The sequence below is a fragment of the Homo sapiens genome, chromosome 16 (assembly GCF_000001405.40).
Source record: "Homo sapiens chromosome 16, GRCh38.p14 Primary Assembly".
Classification (NCBI taxonomy): Eukaryota; Metazoa; Chordata; class Mammalia; order Primates; family Hominidae; genus Homo; species Homo sapiens.
Genome location: NC_000016.10, coordinates 24051784 through 24073897, shown reverse-complemented (window position 1 = coordinate 24073897; position 22114 = coordinate 24051784). Strand labels below are relative to the sequence as shown.

Sequence of the window (22114 nt, the reverse complement as noted above, 5' to 3'; positions counted from 1 at the left end):
GTGTTGGGATTACAGGCGTGAGCCACCACGCCCGGCCATCACTTGCTCTTCTATAGAGAACAAGCAAAAGCTATCATCAGCTGTCTTGGACTCCTTCTGGAAAAGATCAACATATTTACCCCCAAAATAGCATCTTTCCATCTCAGAAGGAATACTGGACACATTTTAGGTAAAGTCAGCACATCGTTTATCGAGGTGTTAAAAACATGGCTTAGGGGCTAGGGGATGAATATTGAACTTTAGACTGAGACATTTAAAAAACCGGCCAGGCGCAATGGCTCACACCTGTAATCCCAGCAATTTGAGAGGTCAAGGAGGGAGGATCACTTGAGGCCAGGAATTTGAGATTAGCCTGGGCAACATAGCAAGACTTTGTCTCTACAAAAACAATTTTCACGATTAGCCAGACATGGTGGCATGCGCCTGTAGTCCCAGTAACTCAAGGGGCTGAGGCGGGAGGATCACTTGAGCCCAGGAGTCTGAGGCTGCAATGAGCCAACATTGTACCACCGTACTCCAGCCTGGGAGACAGAGCAAGATCCTGTTTCTAAGAAATAAATAAAAATGGCAAAAATGTTTAAGGCAGGTAGGATTCAAACAGGTGGGCAATGGGAGGCCATCTTTAGGAGAGGTTCTTACAAATACAACAGTTCTAATCCTGACCTTAATCACAGGGCTGATAGTCAAAATATTTAGCAAGCGGTTTATCCATCAGATTGGAGACAGCCAAAGCCCTGGGGTAGATGTGAAGGCTCCCACTGAACTAGACATTCACCTTTTCATTATCAGATCACATCCAAGGGCTCTTGGAGAAGAAACTAACAAGGCCAGAGAGGCAGAGGACATCTGGTGGTATTTCTTAGTTGCCAGCTGGCATAGAGATATTTTGATGTTTTGATAATCATCTCTGATCAAGATGACTGAGCACTGCATAAATACTTCCTCTTTACAGTAAGGTATACTTGAGCTACTGAATAGTTTCATTTTTAAACAGCCTTAAAAAGAGAGAGAGAGTTAGGCCAGGTGCGTGGCGCACACATGTAATCCCAGTGCTTTGGGAGGCTGAGGCGGGTGGATCACCTCAGGTCAGGAGGTCGATATCAGCCTGGCCAACATGGTGAAACCCCGTCTCTACTAAAAATACAAAAATTAGCTCGGTCTGGTGGCACAGGCCTGTAATCCCAGCTACTTGGGAGGCTGAGGCAGGAGAATTGCTTGAACCCAGGAGGCAGAGGTTGCAGTGAGCAGAGATCATGCCATTGCACTCCAGCCTGGGTGACAAGAGGGAAACTCCATCTCAAAAAAAAAAGAGAGAGAGAGAGAAAGAGAGAGTTAAAGAAAGCAGATTGGCTGGTTGTGGTGGCTTACACCTGTAATCCCAACTCTTTGGGAAGCTGAGGTGGGAGGATCACTTGAGGCCAGGAGTTGGAGACCCCCATCTTTATAAAAAATAAAAATAATAATTATCTGAGCATGGTGGTGCATGCCTACAGTCCCAGCTACTTAGGAGGCTGATGTGGGAGGATTGCTTGAGCTCAGGAGTTCCAGGCTGCAGTGAGCTATGATCGTACCACTGCACTCCAGCCTGGGTGACAGAGAAACACCCTGTCTCAAAAAAATTAAAAACAAAAGCAGATTGATGGTTGCCAGGGGCTGGGAGAAGGCAGGGATGGGTAGTCACTGCTTAATCAGTATGGGGCTTTATTTTGGAATGATGGAAATGTTTTGGAACTAAATAGCAGTGGTGGTTGCACAACACTGTGCATGTACTAAATGCCGCTGAACTGTTCACTCTAAAACAGATCATTTTAAGTCATGTGAATTTCACCTCAGCAAATTTTTAAAAACAAAAGGCGGGGGTGGGGTGGGGGTTAAACTCTATCCAAATTGCAATCAGCCCATAAACAAGTAGCAAACTGAATTGGGCACCCTCATGATAATAATAACATCCTTGCTGAGATCCTGGAGCAGGGCCCAGTGATGCCGACGACCCCTCCAGAATGTGTCCACTGTGATCATTAACTCCACAAAGGCTTGGGCATGGTTACTGCAACTCAACGCCCTCTTCGGCCCCCACCATAACTTTCAGCCTTTCCTGCACCATCTCCTTATATGGTGTAGGCCAGACTCCAGCTAGCCTTGGCTGCCGGCTGTTCCCTGTAAGATCCTGCCTCCATAGGAGGAGACAGATGGGATCTAGTGTCCAGGACCACATCCCACAGCTACTGCCCAGAGACATGTGCAGAGCGGACAAGCCAGGCAGGTACTCACTCTCTTTACTACCCTAGGACCTTTACCCCCAATCACAAGTAGAACCACTGGCCCTGTTGAGTTGAGCTAGACTAGCATTCTCAATTCTGGATCCACATTAAAATTGGTGGAAATTGGAAGGTTGGACGGGCTCCTCTTATTCCTTTTCCCCAGTCCTGTTTGTCTTTTTTTTTTTTTTTTTTTTTTTTTTAGACAGGGTCTCACCATGTTACCCAGGCTAGTCTCAAACTCCTGAGCTCAAGCGATCCACCCGCCTTGGCCTCTCAAAGTGCTAGGATTACAGACGTCAGCCATCGTGCCCGGCCATGTTTTGTTTTCAAGGCAATGCAGAGAAGAGGTAGCTCAGGCTCCTCTTACCATACCAGATATGCAGAGTTCTGAGAGGTCTGAAGGCAGAGTAAGTCTCAAATGGAAAGCCAAGAGAGAATGCTTAGGGTATATCATGAAGACGAGGTCATTAAGCTCCTCCCCTATCTCTGAAAGCCCCAAGAGCAGCATCCAAGTCCTTAACTCACATCCTCACATCAGCCCTGGAGTGGAGGGGGGCTTTGAGCTCCCTCTTCAGGTCACAGTGTGTACTAACTACCCTTTGTCCAGATGGTTCCCTCCCTTGCCTTTGGCCCAAAGCTCATTCATCCTTCTAGTTAGATCTATAAGGCCACCTCTTCCCAGAAGCCTTTCCTGACTTCATCTGACCCATCACAGGATTTCTTCCTTTCTTATCTTCAGTGACACAGTATACTTTAGAGAGATATGTACTTGCTTTACTTGTTCTGCTATATTAAATAGAGCTCCTTAAGGGAAGGGACTATGACTTCCTAATTTTTCTGGCCAAGGGCTTGGCCTCAGGATCAAACAGACCTGAGTTTGAGTTCAAAGTGATACCACTTCCTGGCTGCGGAGGCTTGGAGGATTACTTAACCTCTCTGAGCCTCAGTTTCCTCATCTGTAATATGAGAATAGCAACAGTGTTCCCTCATAAGATGGCTGAGAGGGCTGAGGAGCTATATACTTCATGCTATTATATGCGTTGTAATGACTGCAACCTATTTTACACTCAACAACTCCTAGTCATTATTATTATTCTGTTCTATTAGGTGCCTGGGATACTATTTTCTATATATTTCATATATACTTAATAAATGATTTTTAAATGTCATTAAATTCCCTGGTTTCAAGGCCGGGCGCAACGGCTCATGCCTGTAATTCCAGCATTTTGGGAGGCTGAGGCAGGCGAATCACTTGAGGTCAGGAGTTTGAGACCAGCCTGGCCAAGATGGCAAAAATCCGTCGCTACTGAAAATACAAAGATTAGCCAAGAGTGATGGCACATGCCTGTAATCCCAGCTACTTGGGAGACTGAGGCACAAGAATCGCTTGAACCCAGGAGGCAGAGGTTGCAGTGAGCCAAGATCGTGCCACTGCACTCCAGCCTGGACGACAGAGCAAGACCTTGTCTCAAAAAAAAAAAAAAAAAAATCCCCTGGTTTCCTGCAAGATGAAAAGCTTACCATCACAGGGCCCCAATCCCAGTGTAAGTTAACGTCCCTTCCCTGGTTGCCCAGGACACCTTGCACTCGTGTCTGGCACAGCAGTCCTAACACTTTGCTGTAATTATCCATTTATTTGTCGTATTGACAGTGGTGACGCCATAGCCCAGCACAGTGTGAGCCACACACTGAAGGAAGGAAGGAATGGCCATGAATCACGTCATCTCGGGAGTACCCGTTGGGAATGGAGAAGAATCTTAAGACCTCCAGCCCAGAGAGAATATACAGGTTTTGTGATTTGTTCTAGGCTCTGATGATGTCATGACAATAACAATGACAACTTTTATTGAGCACATACTATATGCCAGGCACTGTTTTGTTTTGTTTGTTTTGTTTTGATACAAAGTCTTGCTTTGTTACTCAGGCTGGAGTACAGTAGTGCAATCACGACTCACTGCAGCCTCAACCTTTGGGGTTCAAGTGATCCTCCCACCTCAGCCTCCCAAGTAGCTGGGACTACAGGTGTACGACCATGCCTGACTACTTCTTAAAATTTTTTGTAGAAATGGGGTCTCACTATGTTGCAGGCTGAAATCAAACTCCTGGGCTCAAGCAATCTTCCCACCATGGCCTCCCAAAGAGGTGGGATTACAGGCATGAGCCACCACGCTCAGACCCAGGCACTGTTTTAAGCACTCTATACACAGCACAGCACTGCTCGTCCCCAGTGCTCAGCCTCTTCCGGGCCAAACTTCAACGTCTCACTCTGGGAGGCAGGAATCCAGCAGCTGAAAGAAGTCAGTCTTACATGATTTAAAAACAGGCTGTTCTGAGGCCATCTGCTTCATTTGCCCCAGGACATGGGGACTGGACCAAACTGTCCTCTAACACGGCACCTCCTGCATTTCATGTACCCTTATCTGATCTAAAGCCACTTTCTATACCAAATTAGTCAAGTGTGATGGTGAGGAGCTTAAACCCAGAGATCCTGGCAGATCAGCTCTGCCATAGAGCAGCTTTGTGACCTGAAAGTTACCTAACTTCTCGGTAACTCAGTCTCCTTGTTTAAAAAATGGGGCTAATGATAAGGATGTTGGCTCATAGGAATGTTACAATCATTATAAATTAATAGAATGTCTGGCATATGGTAAACATTCACTATGTGCTACTTTGTTATTATTGGCTCTTATTTTATATCGCTGTCTCCATAGTGTTCTAGCAGAATGCTTAGCAACCTTTACTTCACTATCTTCACTCCCCAAAGTTCTCAGGGTCCCCTACCAGGATCTGAAAGAAATGAGGATTCCTCACTCTATCACTGATGCTCACAACACCCTTCTTTAAAAATAATTTTCTGAACCAAACAAATATTACCTTAGATCTTATCCCAAAATTAAATAAATGCTTTCATTTGTATATTCACCTTCTGGTCTTTTTCCATGTTAACATTCAATTTTTACATAATTATACCACTCTAAATCTATTTTGTATTTTATATTTTTATTTAATATCATACCACTTGGGGCAATGATAAAGTAGCTCTCCCACTGAGAGCAACTATAAAAGCCAGATAAAAAATATTTTTCAAGAAACTGGAATTTTGAAGGAATTAGAATTAAGATAAGTCCAATATTCTGTGTGTGGTTTTTTTTTTTTTTTCCTTTGGGCCATAAATCAATTCTCAACACAGGGCAAAGGACTAAGAAGCTAGACAGAGGGCACCTGCTAAGAAGGAGGGAGGCCACCAGAGCTTGAAGCTTATTCTTGGGGCTAGGAATCAAAGCTTCCAGGGAAGGCAGGACTTGAGGGGCCAAATCATAGTGGGAGGGGAAGAGCAGAGAAGTGAACTCAACGCTAGGCATTGATTTTTCTCTTGAGTCTCTACCAATCACACTGCAGAGGTTGAGACACAAAACAGAAATCAGCTGAGAGGTTTTGTCAGGCTTATGGTGCTAGAGAAACAAAAATTGGGGTTCAGGACCCAGTTAAAAGGAGGGCCCTGGCAAGTCTTCAGCCTCAGAGTTGGAAACCTCTACACCATAGGAGTGGAAATGAACCAGAAATAGAACAAACCTTACGAAGGCTATAAACCAGCACACAGTGAGCTCGATCACCACCAGAAGGGTGACCCCAACCTGCATGGAAAATAACCTCTTCCTCAGCTCTCTCTCTCTCTCTTTTTTTTTTTTTTTTTTGAGACGGAGTCTCGCTCTGTCACCCAGGCTCACTGTAACCTCCGCCTCCCAGGTTCAAGTGATTCTCGTGCCTCAGCCTCCCCAGTAGCTGGGATTACAGGCATGTGCCACCATGCCAGGCTAATTTTTGTATTTTTGGTAGAGATGGGGCTTCACTATGTTGGCCAGGATGATCTCAAACTCCTGATCTCAGATGATCCACCCACCTTGTCCTCCCAAAGTGCTGAGATTACAGGCATGAGCCACCACACCTGTCCAACAGCTTTCTAATTTAGCAAGGAATCATCTGAAATTCAAACAAAACTTCCAAACATGCCAAGAAATAGGACCAGAAGCAAAAAACACCTAGGCGTGGTGATGCATGCCTGTAATCTCAGCACTTTGACAGGCAAACATGGGCAGACGGCTTGAGCTCAGGAATTCAAGACCAGCCTGGACAACATAGTAAAACCCCATCTCTACAAAAATACAAACATTAGTGGGGTGTGGTGATACACATCTATAGTCCCAGCTACTCAGGAGTCTGAGGTGGGAGGATTGCTTGAGCCCAGGAGGTAGAGGCTGCAGCGAGCTATGATTGCACCACTGCACTCCAGCCTAGGTGACAGAATAAGATCCCGTCTAAAAAATTTTAAAAAAACAGACAAGAGGGCAGATCCATGGGTGATTCAGACACTGGAATTATCAAACATGAACTTTAAAATAACTTATTAAGATGTTTAAAAGAAGGGAGAAAGGATGACAATGTGGAAAGTTTCACCAGAGAACTATTGGTTACAAAAAAGAAACTGACTGGGTACAGTGGCTCACACCTGTAATCCCAACACTTTAGGAGGCTGAGGAGGGGTGATCACTTGAGGCCAGGAGTTCAAGACCAGCCTGGGGCAACACAGCGAGACCTCATCTCTACAAAAATTTTTAAAAATTAGCCAAGCTCAGTGGCATGCACCTGTGGTCCCAGCTTCTCAGGAGGCTGAGGTGGGAAGATTGCTTGAGGCCAGGAGTTCAAGGCTGCAATGAGTGATGATTGTGCCACTGCACTCCAGCTTGGGTGACAGAGCAAGACCCTTGTCTCAAAATAACTAAATAAAGCAAATGAAAGCTTTAGAATTAAACATACAATAATTCCCAAGTGGATGGACATTCTACCAGATACTTGACCAGTACTTCTCAAAACTGTCAAGGTCATGAAAAATAAGAAACGATTGAGAAATTGTCATAAACCAGAGGACACTTAGGAAACATGACAACTTAATGTAATTTGGTATCCTACATGAGATCCTGGAATACACTAAGAATATCGTGAAAAAAAAAAGGAAAATCCAAATAAAGTTTGGAGTTTAGTTAACAATACAGTACTAATTAGTGTTAACATCTTCATTTTGACGGATGTGTCATGGTCATGTAACGTGTTAATAATGGAAAACTGAGTGAAAGGTATACGGGAAGTCTATCCTCTGCAACTTTTCTGTACATCTAAAACTATTCTAAAATAAAAAGTTTATTTAAAATGCAATACTTAAAATTAATAACTCAATGCATGGCTTAGCAGCAGATTGGAAGCAGTTAGAAGGCAAATCAGTGAGCTGAAAAACAGATTATTAAGAAAAATCAGACTATGGCATAAAGATTAAAAGAGACAGAGAGTACAGAAGAGAGTGTCAGAGACAGAGGACACAGTACCAAGGTCTAACATACATATAATCAAAGTCAAGCATGAAAAGGAGAGAAAAGGATAGGGCAGACAATGGACAAGAAAATACTAATGAAAAACATCAAGTTAAAGAGGCAAGAAGTAAAGAAACACCAACCAAGATAAACACATACAAACACACACACACACACACACACACACACACACACACAGGAACATCACAGTCACATTGCTGAAAATCAAAGAGAGAGAGAAAATCTAAAATCATACAGATTGCATAAAGGCAACAATAGGACTTCAAAAGAGCCACAATAAGACTGACAAAATCAACAAAAATGATGGAAGAAGAACAACGGGATGGTATATTTAAAGTGCCGAAAGAAAATAACAGCCAGTTTCAAATTCTATCCAAGGGTGAATGTGAAATAAAGATTTTTTTTCCCCAGAGATGGGATCTCACGATGTTGCCCAGACTGGACTTGAAGTCTTGAGCTCAAGCAATCCTCCTGTCTCAGACTCCTGAATAGCTGGGACTACAGGCATGTGCCACTGTGCCCAGCTTGAAATACAAGTATCTTAAGATGTATTTGCAGCAGGCCTAAACTAAATAATAAAAGACGTTCTTTAGAGAGAAAGAAAATGATCCCAGATGGAAATGTGAAAATGTAAGAAAGAATGAAAACTAACAGAAAGGGTAAATATATTATTAAATCCAAGTAAATGCTGATTATATGAAGCATTATCATAATGTAGTTTAAATCACATGTAAAATTACAATGTGTATGGTAGGATGGGGTAAACAGGACTAAAATGTTAAAGAACCTAGGATCATTTGGAACGTAATAAAAGTACTAATATATTAAATTCTAAAATCCAAAGATGCATATTGCAATCTCTAGAATCAATATAAAAATAATAAAAACAATACATGACTAATTAGTTAATAGAAAGGAATATGAAATAATAAAATATACTTAAGTGATCCCCAAAAGGCAATAATAAAGAGAAAAAGGAATGTAAAACACATGGGACAAACGAAAAATCATAGGAAGTGGTAGATATAGACTCAAATATATCAGCAATTATATAAAATGTAAATGGTCTAAATGCTCCAATTAAAATCAACTATTGTCAGACTGTATTAAAAATTGTGCTTATAAAAGACACACTCTAAATGTAAGGCTACAGAAAGACTGAAAGGGAAAAGGGGGAAAAATATATATATATTTATATTATTTTATATATAGATATATTTCCCCCTTTTCCCTTTCAGTCTTTTTATATATATATATACACACACACCATAAAACATTATATAAAACATATATAATACATATATTCGGTCTATATATATGTATATATGTATATACATATAAACACACACATCATAAAACATCAACCAAAAGAAAACTGGTATATTTACAAGAGGCAAAGTAGGCTTTAAGGCAAGAAGCATTATTTGAGATAAACAGATACCTTTCAGAATGATAAAAGGATCAATTCACCGAGGAGATATCAATTATATTTTATAATAATAACATTGCTTCAAAATATACAAACCAAAAATTGATAAAACTGAAAGGAAAAAAACCCAGAATCATAATAGGAGACTTAAATCCAATTCTTTCAGTAACAGAACAAGCAAGCAAAATAAAAATCAAACAAGATATAGAAAATATGAACAACACAACTAACGAAACTAATTTACACACACACAATATGGCATCCAACAAACACAGGATACATATTCTTTGTAAGTGCACATGGAATATTTACCCAAATGTCAAATGAATGAAATTATGTATGTTTTCAGACTGTGGTGGAAACAAACTATCAATAACAAAAAGATAACTAGAATATTTACAAATGCTTGAAAATTAAACATACACTTTTGAATAAATCATAGGAAAAATCATCATGAAAATTCAAAAATATTCAAAACTTGTGAGAGTCAACTAAAGCTGTGCTTAAAGGAAAATGTGTAGCCTTAATGTACATATTAGGAAAGAAGATAGGCTGAAAAATCAATGCTATATCTATCTCAAAAAGTTAGAAAAGGGACACCAAATTAAATCTATGTGTATGTTCCCATTTGCTATGATTTTTTTTTCAAGCTCCCTTTACCTACTTGCTTTCCCATTCTATCTTTCTCCTCCTCCCCAACTGCCAGGTAAGAAGGACGGCAACCTGGTGTTTACTCTTTCCTACCTTTCTCCTGGCTGAGACAATCACCTAGAAACAAATGGACTGGGAGGGTTACTGTACAAAAACGGAATCACACTATACACGCTGCTCTGCAAAATGCTTTTCCCACCCAACAATATGTCAGTCAGTTTGAAACTCATTCTTTTTCAACTGCAAGTTATACCACAGCATGGACAGACTACAACATGTTCAGCCTTCAAAAACGGGCATTCAGGAGGCTATTAGCTTTTTGCCACCACAAACAGTGATGCCATAAATATCCTGGTATGTCCTTCCCAGAGTCCTAAGAATTCCCTGAATGGAGCCAAGACAACCAGAAATCTCACACTCTAGTGCTCAAGTTCTCAAACATTCTTCCTGCCACAGCAGCATTCATGCAGGCTACTCACTCCTCTATCATCATGATACTGGGTTCCCTAAGCGCATGCTGCAAACTCCATTCTTTCTCCCCTTATAAAAAAAATGGAACCCAGTGAAAGTACATCAGTGGCCAGGCATGGTGACTCACGCCTGTAATCCCAGCACTCTGAGAGGCCAAGGCGGGCGGATCACATGAGGTCAGGAGTTCGAGGCCAGCCTGGCCAACATGATGAAACTCTGTCTCTCCTAAAAATACAAAAATTAGGCAGACATGGTGGCACACGCCTGTAATCCCAGCTACTTGAGAGGCTGAGGCAGGAGAATCGCTTGAACTCAGGAGGCGGAGGTTGTAGAGAGCCAAGATCATGCCACTGCACTCCAGCCTGGGCAACAGAGTGAGACTCCATCTCAAAAAAAAAAAAAAAGTGTATCAGGATAGGCGCAAGCAGAAAACAGAATCCAATTCAGAAGGCTCTAGAGATTTTAATTAAGGTACTACTCACAAATGTGAAGACAGGGTTAAAGGGATCAACAACGCATGGTGAGACATCCAGAGAGTAGCAGCATTGAGATGTCATTGCTACCCCTAGGCCTGAAGAGGCCAAAGAAGGAAGTAGTGTTACCAGAGCCCAGTGAAATCTGGAGACACAGAGAAGGGGCCTTCTGATACTGCTGGACACACAGCCAAGAGCAGAGGAATTGGGACAGAAATGCCGCATCTTCTCATTCCTACCATCCTACAATCTCTTGCCAATCAATGCCTCTTACTGCTTGAACTCAATCAGAAACTAAAAAGGAAAAGAGCCCATGTCATGCACTCTGAAGGAGTCAGGCTCTTGAGCCACAGAGAAGATCACAGAGTGGATGGGGGAGGTGAGGGATGCAAGCAAAGGACAACCTGCAAAAAAAAATAAGTATGCATTCTAATTGGCACAAGAAGAGCTGAGTGAGGGGCCAGTAATGTCACAGTCCCCACAGGGAGCTGTCCTCCTGGCTGCCAGAGTGCTGGAGGGAATGAAGCAAGGGGAGATCAAATGTGGCTGCACAGGGTGAACTCACCCCCAGTGGATTGGTTACCCAGTGTGTTCTGGGCTTGCTGCGTGACTTCAGACCAGTTGCTCAACCTCTCTGGTTCTCAGTTTATTAGCTATAAAATGGGACTACTTGGCATCTTCCTTGCCTACAAACCCCCCTTTATACTTGAGAAAGTAAAATGTCAAGGAAAGAACAACAATTCGTTTCTCCATTCCCTGCATCTGGGTTTGGTCATGTGACTGGGACATTAGCCAATGCGATGCAAACAGAATCCTCAAAAGTGCTTGGGAATTGGGGCTTGGATTGAAATGCCCTCACTTACTGCTCTTGAGATGCCAGTGAGCAGGCAAAGGCTAGCCTGCTGGGTGGTGGCAGGCAATGGCCAAGGCATCCCTGTCCCTCCAGCTGACACTGAGCCAACCACCAGATGTGAGAGTGAGGGCCTCACAGACCCTCCAGCCCCAGACAAGCTGGCCCAGATCACAAGAACCTCCCAGAAGACCCACAAAATTGAGAGAAAGAATGTTGTTTTAAGCCCACTACCCTTGCAGCAATTTGTTACACAGCAAATGCTTACTGATACAATTAGTAATGAGATACTGGAAACGTATCTTGCTAATAACAACATAGCAGTGGGTTGGGATACCAGGGGTGTGAACCATGAGGCAGTGCTCCAAAGGATGCTGTCCCATGAAGCTGCCCAACAGAGTTTTCTCAACAACATGGGCATTTTCAAAGTCCAGCAGGCCTCAAGTTTTTTTTTTTTTTTTTTTTTTTATTTATTTAAGGTGCAGGGGGAGTGGGGGAATACAAGAGATACAATCTAAATGTTTAGATTGCTTTGTCGCTCCAGGCTTCCTTTCCTTTTCTTTTCTTTTTTAACAAATTGCCCAGTGTATAGAGTGCTTTTCTGTTTTCCCTCCCGGGAAGTTATTTATTTTTATGGGCTTCTTTTGGGAAATAAAAATCAATTTTGGAATGCAAGTGATACATTTTACTCTCTCAATAATGAAAGCTAGAAAATTAAAGGCCCCAAGGAACAACCTCTCTGTACTAAAATGATGTAGAATGCAGCCCAAATGTTCTTGTGTGAACGTTTTATAAATCGTGACCACTGTTTGCTGATGGAACCCTGGAAATAGCTCGTGGAAGACACAGCCATTGCTAGTGATGGCTCCATGCTGGGGGAGCCTATGCAAGCTCACACTCCCACAGGAAGGCACTTCCAGATAACCTATTCTCTAATCACAACTCTGAAAAACTGTATATATCAGGGCACTCCTGTGTGTGTGTTTAGGAAACCTGTTCATTCACTTATTCAATTAATGGCCGCATGTGGTGGCTCATGCCTGTAATCCCAGCACTTTGCGGGGCCAAAGTGGGCAGATCACTTGAGCTCAGGAGTTTGAGATCAGCCTGGCCAACATGGCAAAACCCCGTCTCTACTAAAAATACAAAAATTAGCTGGGTGTGGTGATGCACACCTGTAATCCCAGCTACTTGGGAGGCTGAGGCATAAGAATTGCTTGAATTCGGGAGGCGGAGGTTGCAGTGAGCCAAGATCATGCCACTGCACTCCAGCCTGAGCAACAGAGCAAGACCCTGTCTCAAAAAAAAAAAGATTAAAAATTATTAACAAGCACCTATTATGTACCTAGACATGGTGACACAAAATGAACAAGACAGAATAGTCAGTCCCTACAAAAAGCTTATATTTTAGAGAAAAGATACAAACATTAAACAAGGCATCTTAAGTCGGGTTCCCTGAAAAAAGACTGATCTGGATATTGTATGCAGGCGGCTTCTCAGGGAATAACCTTGGGAGGAACTCCTGCAAGGAATGGGGGAAGCAGGATGAAATCGAGAAACTGAACTGCAATGTAGCTGCAACAGAGGTGTCACCTGATCCATGAGGGAGCTCTGTAGCTGGGATGGCCCCTTAGACTTGTTCCCTACTGAGGCTGGGGAAGAGCATTTATAAGCCCATTCCCCACCAGCAACCAATCATAGACTGTGAGCTGCCCCTGGAAGAGGGCATAACCTTGGGCACTGCAGCTCCCTCAGGGCAAATCCTACGGAAATACTGAAGCCGTGAGTGGTCAGAGCCAATACTCTGCGTGGCTTGGGGCAGGAGTGCCTCTGTGCTGAGAGAGGGATCCTGGTGGCACACCACAGTATCCACTACACAAGGAAACATTGTAGATGTGATACATGCATAAGGGAGGAAGTTCAGCGCTTAGGGAAGGGGTACCTACCTTAGACTAGGGATTCTCAGGGTCACTGACGTCTTTGCTAAATGCCCTGTACAAAGGAGCTTGGTAGGAGTTCACTAACTAACCCCTCATTATGCACTAAGCGCTGTGAAGGCCCTGAGAGACATTCTTGTTTCATCCTTGCCATGACTCTGCAAGGTACAGGCTACTCTCTCTGCTCGCCAGATGAGGACACTGAGACTCATGGGGCTTCATTAACTTGCCCAAAGTCCCACAGCCAGCATGTGGCAGAGCTGGGACTTGAACACCTATCTTCCTGAAGACAAAGCCTAGGACCGCTTCTGCTTAATTCCTATCCCTATTCCCAGGCACCTTGCTTTCTTCCATTCATGCTATAAACCTGCTCAGATGCCTCTCAGAAATAACTTCCTTCTAAGACGCCTTCCCTGGCCCCTTTCTTCCACAACCCAAATTCTCATGAGTTGTCTACACTCCTCTTTCCACATCCCCTCCTTCAATTCCCTCCTCAACATCCAGCATCCAGGCTTTCCGGCATCCTGCCTCTTAACTCCTACTATGCCACTGAAAGAGCACTTCCCAAGTCCCTAAGTTAAATGACCAAATCCAGTGACTCTGTTCAATTCTTAGCCTCGTGTTTATCATTACCAGTTGGCAGCATCTAAGGTGTTGGCCATATCCACTTTCTTGAATTCTCTCTTCCCTTGGCTTCTATGACCATTTACTCGGCTGGTTCCCCTTCATTCTCTAAAAGCACTATAATTATTACTACTAATAATAATTATTATTCGAGATAGGGTGTCACTCTGTCACTCAGGCTGGAGTGCAGTGCTGTGATCATAGCTTACTGCAGCCTCAAACTTCTGGGCTCAAGGGCTCCTTCCACCTTAGCCTCCCCAGTGGCTTGGACCACAGGCATGCACCACCACACTGGCTACATTAAAAAAAAAAAATTTTTTTTTGTAGAAATGGAGTCTCCCTTTATCATCCAGGATGGTCTTGAACTCCTGGGCTCAAGCGATCCTTCTGCCTCAGACTCCCAAAGTGCTGGGATTACAGACATGAGCCACTGCACCTGGACTTAAAAGCATTATTTTTAAATTCTCCTTCACTGGCTCCTCTTGCTCCACTGATGACTGAAGTGGCTCCATTTCCCAGAGCCTGAACCTTCCTGCTCTTACAGTGCTGCACTAATTCCTGACCCACTCAAAGAATTCAGCTTCCACTGTTAGGGCCGGTGACCCCTGCATCCATACTGTTGGCTCTGTTTTTCCAATCGGATCTCTGGATATACAGATTCATCTGCCTACTGGACACAGTCACCCATGCAACCCAAAAACATCTCAACATATACTAAAGCAAGATGATTACCTTTCCCTTCTGGTAAGCTTCTGTGACTTCTAACCCTAATTGGCTATCACGCTCACTATCCACATGTCTTCCTGAGTCAGAAATCTCTGTTAGTCCTGACTCCTCCATCCTCTCCCTGATCCTCTACATCAATTTATTCTTATCCTTCCACTTCCTTAATTCATGTATGTTTCATCTCCTCCATCCTACAGGGATCAATAGCTCCTGGATGGGTCTCTACAGCTCTAGTCCCTTACATCTTTAATCCTTCTTTTTAATTGTCACCCATGGTAACTAGATCAGGTCATTACCACCTACAATGGCTCACCAAATCCCTAGCATGCTTGAGCAAGCTCTTCTGTGAGCTGGCATTAATCAGACTTCATAGCTACAATCTATGGTCTGAACACACCAGAAACCCTAGGCACCTTCATGGTAACATTCATGCTTCTCTCATGTGGTTACACTTCAGCCTAGAAGTCCAACTTTTTAACTATTTATTCAGGTCATTCAATGTCTGATTCAGGCATTAATCAGACTTCATAGCTACAATCTATGGTCCAAACACACCAGAAACCTAAGGCACCTTCACAGGGCATGAAGGTTACGTTTCATGGTAACTTTCAAGGTTCACTTGTGTGGTTACACTTCTGCCTAGCAGCCCACCGTTTTTGGTTTTTTTTTTTAACCTATTTAGCCATTTACTCAGCAAACTCTAATTGTGCATCTGTACATGTCAATTGTGCACTGCACTAGCACAAAGTGGCATAAAAAATAAGGAAGGTTCTTGCTCTCCATCCAGTGGAGAGAAACAGGCAAGAAGCAAATAAATAAACAAATGCAAACAGAGTAATGGGATAGGGAGTGACTGGGAGGGGTTTCTTCAGATAAGACTCAGAGGCGGGCTTTCTGAGAAGGTGACATTTAGTGATGACTGAAGGCTACTGGAAAGTTGGCAACACATAGAGCCCAAGGAAAAGCAACCCAAGCTGAGGGAAGAGCAAGTGCAAGAAGGAAGGAAAAATATTTGTTGGCTCAGAGATGTGGCTATCATGGGAAAAGAACAAACAAGGTTGGAAAGAGGCTGAAGGAAGCAGAATCTGCAGGCTCTTAGAGCAGGAGTGAGGAGTTTAGGTTTCAGTTGGAAGCTCTGAGAAGGCTTGGAATCATTTAAGCAGGGGGGTGACATGGCCTGATTTACATTTTAGAAAGATTCCTGTGGCTGGGTGTGAAGAGTGGATTTCAGAGGGCAAAAGACCGTCAAAGTTTCTATTCATCTTTCAAAGTAGAAAATAGACAAAGCGCCCACCGAGCTGAGTCCTAGCAAGGGGCAAGCCATCAATAAGCGTTAGATCTCTGCCCCATCCAGAACTAAGTCCACTGCCTTTGCCTCTGTGAAGCCTATCACAACCCCATGGGTTGGAATTAACCTCTCATCCCCTGGCACCTCCCACAGCATGTGCTTCCTACTCCATTATCTCTTCACCAATCCCCCCTTTTATAGTGAGCTCTCTCTTCTTCTCTCTTAGTAGGGCTATGAAATACTCAGCGTGTAAAGAATCATATTCATTCCTACAGCCATCCAGTATCTAGCAAATGACCTCCCATACAGAAGAGATTAAAGAATAAGTGAATGAATGAATGAATGAGGTATGAAAGGAAAGCTCTTTTTGTTCCCCAGGAAAGCTATGCATTAACAGCCTGCGTTTAGAATCAATCACATCTGCATTTTTAATTCAAATCCCATCGCTCCCTAGCGATGGGACTTTGGGCAAGTGAATTCACCTCTCTGAGCTGCATTTTTCCCTTCTGTAAAGCTGAAATAGTAGTAAGTATGGGATAGTATTATTTCATAGGGCTGACATGGGGATCTAATGGGACCAAAGAAGCACTGTTGGCCCTTCCCATTCCCAAAAGTGTGCCTGCCAGAGAAGGGCAGAGTCTGAACAATCCAAGATAAAGATCTGCAACTATATAACACTTGTTGACAAGGTCCTGTCTTTTTCTTGTTTACATTTTTGTTTTCAACAAATATTTATTGAGCCCTGATCATAGACACCCACCACAACCATCACCTTCCATTTTAGTGGCCATAAATAATCAGGGAAAGACACGTTTGAATCTGCTCTTGGGGTAAGGGCTGGATCTGGCCCCTGTGCATGCACCACGGGCCCAAGACTCACCAATAGCAAGGCTATGGAAATAGGCTGTGTTCATCCGTTTGCGTTGCTCTCAAGGAATACCTGAGGCTGGGTACTTTATAAAGAAAAGAGGTTTATTTTTGTTCATGGTTCTGTAGGCTGTCCAGGAAGCATGGTGCTGGCATCCACTTCTGGTGAGGGACTCAGGAAGCTTCCAATCATGGTACAAGGAGAAAGGGGAGCCCGTGTATCACATGGTAGGAGCGGGAACAAGAATGAGAGAGGGGAGGTGCCAGACTCTTTTAAACAACCAGATCTCTAGTGAACATGGAGCGAGAACTCGTTTAGGTGACATGGAGTGCACCAAGCCAGGCATGAGGTGTCTGCCCCATGACCCAAAAATGGCCCAAGCACCTCCCACGAGGCCTCACCTCCAACACCGAGGATCACATTTCAACATGAGACTTGGTGGGGATAAAACATCCACACTGTATCACAGGTATTTTGCATTCACTTTTAGACCCCATGCCTGGAGACCCAGTGGGCATTGTTGCCCCTATTCAAGAACGCTGGAGACAAGACATTTCAATCCCAATGTCAGTCTGCCCATCATCTTTCTAGGGGAACCTGTATGACCCACAAGTCCCCATAAGCTGCCTCTTGAACTAGTGACAGGCAGAGATGGTGATTAGCCCAGGTCAGTCTGATGCCAGGAGGTATGAATGAGGAAGCTGGGGAAATCATGGCCAGAGCCAAGGAGAACCCCAAGGGAGAGGCTGGCAGCTTCAAAGAGGAAAAGAGAAAGAAGATGTGCACTTACTGCAAGGCTGAAAGAAAGCACACCCATCCCTGAGTTGAAATCACCATTTTAATTTCCAAATTCTCAATTCGGCAAAGTGGTTAAGGGGCTGGGTGTTAGATGCAAACAGACCTGGGACCAAACTCCAGTTCTGCCACACAGAAGCCCAGTTGACCTTGAGCAAGTCAATTAACCTCTCTGAGCCTCAGTTTCCCCTTTTGTCAATGGAGACAAAATGGGTTGATGCAGGTAAAGAGCCCAGCACTGTGTCTGGCACTTAGTAGGCTGTTGTAGTGCAGGAAATTTATATTTCGAGAGAGAGAGAGACTGAAAGGATTCTGTCAAGCAAACAGCATTGCACACCACACACCCCTACAAAACTAGAAGAAATAAGCAGAAAGATGCACTGGAACATCCTTTGGGACTGCTGGCTCTTTATGGATATGCCTACTTGTCCTTCTCCACCAACCATTCCATGATTTCAGATTGGTTCACTTTTCTTTCCCCAATTTGAAAGCCTGCTTAGGTCGGGATTTCTCCAACAACGGGCTAAGACAGTGGATTCGTCTGGAAAGAAGAAATGAAATCAAAGGAGCATTGATCCTCGATGGGGGGAACAGGCTCTCAGCTCTTATTCCAAGTCCCTGTGAAGCCACATTCTCTGAGCTGAAGCAGGCATCCAGCAAGGGCCAGAGAAGCCGACGTGAAAGCCCAAACCCAGCCATCCGTGGCTGCCGCATGCAGCTCGTCAGGGGAGGAGGAACAGACAATAGCAGTCAGTTCCAGGGCCATCTCCCTTCCTTCCCTAGTGCTTCTCAGAACCCAGCAGGCAGCTGATGAGGACTCAGCAGCGGCTGACAGCCCATCTAAAGCTCACTGTCTCTCCAGCTTCCAATCACCAGGTGTCTGAAGGGGTTTCAGAGCAGTCAGCTTCTGCCCTCATTAAGAGGCCTTTGGTGGGTGGAGAAGATGATTGTGAAAGGAACGGTCAGCTTCATTAGGCAACTCAGAGGAGGGGTACAGAAGTCCCCAGAGCTCTGGCCTCCTGGCCTGTGCCCAAGAGGGCCCCTCATTTGCATCTCATTTGCATTGCATACTGAACGGGACCCCCAGCTTACACTTGGAGAAATTGTCATGAGCTAAAGAGAGAGGCTGCCATCGGGTTTGTGGCGAATGATCCTGGGGGAGGAGGATCCACAAAGCAAGCCTACACAACAGTCTCTGCCCTCCAGGAAAACAAGACCTCAATCAGACCACAGTGATGCAGACAGATGCAGACCACACTATTCTGGGATGGATGACCAACTAAATAAAGCCATGTTTACATCATGCACAAGGCCAGACAGAGGGAAAATTCCAAATGTTTTCAAGAGACTGTTAGAACGATTCGTGCTAATTGCATGCAAGTCTTGTACTATGAATGTCAAACTGCACCAGCATCACATAAATGAGCTGTCAACGGCTTGGTCAGCGTTCCCACAGAAAAGAACCTTTTCCTCCCTCTCAGAATAGTTCTCATTTTGTTTGATTGATACACACACAGCTCCCCTTCTTGGGAAAGGGTTTTTAATTTATTGTCCAAAAGCCACAGGTTTCCCCAGTATCCCTAAAGGATTGTCTCTTCATATAAAATAGGTGCTAAGATCTCCATATTAAGACAAACCTGGGTTTAAATTCCAGCACCAGCACTTATCAGCTATATGAATCTGGCCAAGTCATTTAACCTTTCCGAGCTTCAGTTGCCTCCTCTACAGAATAGGGACAATAGTCACATCTCATAGGGAGTAAATGATATCATGCATATAAAAATGCTCTACAAAAGACAAAGTTAAGAGATATTGCCTACCATTGGGAAAGCAAGAAATGGAGTTGCAAATACATAACTTAAATAGCCAGGTTCAGTGGCTCACACCTGTAATCCCAGCACTTTGGGAGGCTGAGGCAAGAGGGTCACTTGAGGCCAGGAGTTTGAAACTAGCCTGGGCAACATAGCCAGATCCCATCTCTATTATAAAATTTTTAAAAATTTGGCTGGGCATGGTGGTGTGTGCCTGCAGTCCCAGCTACTCAGGAGGCTGAGGCAGGAGGATTGCTTGAGGCCAGGAGTTTGAGGCTGCAGTGAGCAGTGATTGTGCCTCTGTACTCCAGCCTGAGTGATACAGTGAGAACCTGTATCTAAAATAAATAAATAAAACTTAAAGGAACTATTACAACTACTAGAGTCACAATAATGGATTCCCATTGGACTAAGAGAAAAGACAAATTCCCTCCCAAGAATCACATAGCCCTCAGCAGCTGCCTCTCTGTTTCCTCCGCTTTCCTCTCCTGCTCCCTTCCCTTGACTTGCCCCACTTAGACACACGAGCCTCCTTGCTGTTTCTTCAAGCACACCGAACATGCTCATGCCACAGGGCCTTTGCACCAGCTGTTACTGTGCCTGGAATGCTCTTCTGCCAGGGAGATGCATGGCTCCCTCCTTCATCTCCTTTGAAAGTCTTTACTCAATGTCCCCATCTCAGTGACTGCCTGCTTGCCACCATATCTAAATGTGCAGGTCCAGTCCCCTCCTGCCTCCTTCCCATCCTCTTTTTCCGTTTTTTCTTTTTCCCCTTAGCTTACTGTTCGTATTTTACTTATTTACCTACTTTGTCTTCTCCCACACTACAACAGAGGTCTACAAACTACAGCCCAAGGGCCAAATCCAGCCTCCTGCCTGTTTTTGTAAATAAAGTTTTATTGGCACACACCCGTGCCCATTCATTGGCACACTGTGGCCACTTCCGTGTTACAATGGCAGAGTTAAGTAGTTGTGACAGTGACCAGATAGCTCCAAAGCCCATCTGGCCCTTCACAGAAAAAGTTTGTCAAGCCCTGCACTAAAATATAAGCTCCATGAGGGCAGGACTTTGGCTTGTTCTCTGACAAATCTCCAGTGACTAAGTCAATGCCTGACATGCAGAAGATGCTTAATAATCACTTTTTTTTGAGTGAGTGAACTACAAATGGCAGTAACCCCGTGCTGGATGTGAGGGGAAGAGAACTAGAGGGATCACATCAGAGAATTAAAACCTTCTCAGGAAGTCAGAGCCATGAAATAGTGAAATGACAGAGAGACAGAGCACATGATTAAAATTTAGAGCTCAAGTGCTGGAAGAAAGAGTTTAAAGAGTTGAAAATAGTGTCTTCCAATGCAGTGGTTCTCAGAGTGTCAGAGATGTTTGAACCAGAGTGACTCCATCTTGAATAGGGGCTGGGTAAAATAAGGCTGAGACCTACTGGGCTGCATTCTCAGGAGGTTAAGGGATTCTAAGTCACTGAATGAGACAGGACGTCAGCACAAGGTACAGGTCACAAAGACCTTGCTGATAAAACAGGTTGTGTTAAAGAAGTAGGTCAAAATCCTCCAAAACCAAGATGGCAACAAAAGTGACGTCTGGTCGTCTTTGCTGCTCATTATACAGTAATTGTAATGCATTAGCATGCTAAGAGACACTCCCAGCAGCGCCATGACAGTTTACAATCGTCATGGCAACGTCAGGAAGTTACCCTACATGGTCTAAAAAGAGGAGGAATCCTCAGTTCTGGGAATCTGCCACCCCTTTCCCAGAAAACTCATGAAAAATCCACCCCTTTTTTAGCATATAATCAGGAAATGACCTCAAAAGTGGCTAGCCAGCAGCTTTAGGGCTGCTCTGCCTGTGGAGTAGCCATGCTTTATTCCTTTACTTTCTTAGTAAGCTTGCTTTGACTTTATGGATTTGCCTCGAATTCTTTCTTGCAAAAGACCTAAGAACCTCTCTTGGGTTCTGGATCGGGATCCCTTTCTGGTAACCGGAGTGTGAACACACCAGCATTCTCTGGGGACCTGTTAGAAATTCAAATTCTCATTCTTCAATGTCTACTGAATCAGAAACTCTGAGGGTGGGGCACTCTCTAGATGATTCTGATGCAAGCTCAAGTACAGGACATTGCTTTTCATCCTCAGCTCTCCAATGCACATTGGCATTTTTAACTATGCCTATCCTATTTTGATAAAATAATTAAATAAAATAGTCTAAGGTCTATTAATTTTATGTCTTTTTTTTTTTTTTTGAGACGGAGTCTCGCTTGCTCACTGCAACCTCCACCTCCCAGGTTCAAGCGATTCTCCTGCCTCAGCCTCCTGAGTAGCTGGGATTACAGGTGCCCGCCACCATGCCCAGCTAATTTTTGTATTTTTAGTAGAGACAGGGTTTCACCATGTTGGCCAGGATGGTCTCCCTTTCCTGACCTGGTGATTCACTCGCCACCTGCCTCAGCCTCCCAAAGTGCTGGGATTACAGGCGTGAGCCACTGTGCCCGGCCTCTTTCCTTGAACTCCTGGATTCAGTGATCCTCCTTCCT

General features: G+C 44.0%; 1 protein-coding gene across 3 annotated transcripts in view, besides 1 other annotated feature; it reads right to left on the bottom strand.

Annotated features, from left to right (window-relative positions):
* PRKCB (protein kinase C beta) overlaps positions 1-22114 on the bottom strand; it is a 384629-nt gene that overhangs the window by 146714 nt on the left and 215801 nt on the right. The gene's annotated exons all lie outside the window — the stretch shown is intronic.
* Positions 18285-18954: an enhancer, noted in NCBI's record as "OCT4-NANOG-H3K27ac-H3K4me1 hESC enhancer chr16:24066265-24066934 (GRCh37/hg19 assembly coordinates)". NCBI's record gives its function as "activates a minimal SCP1, AML or CMV promoter by ChIP-STARR-seq in naive H9 embryonic stem cells {active_cell/tissue: H9 hESC(naive)}" and the evidence as "EXISTENCE:reporter gene assay evidence [ECO:0000049][PMID:30033119]".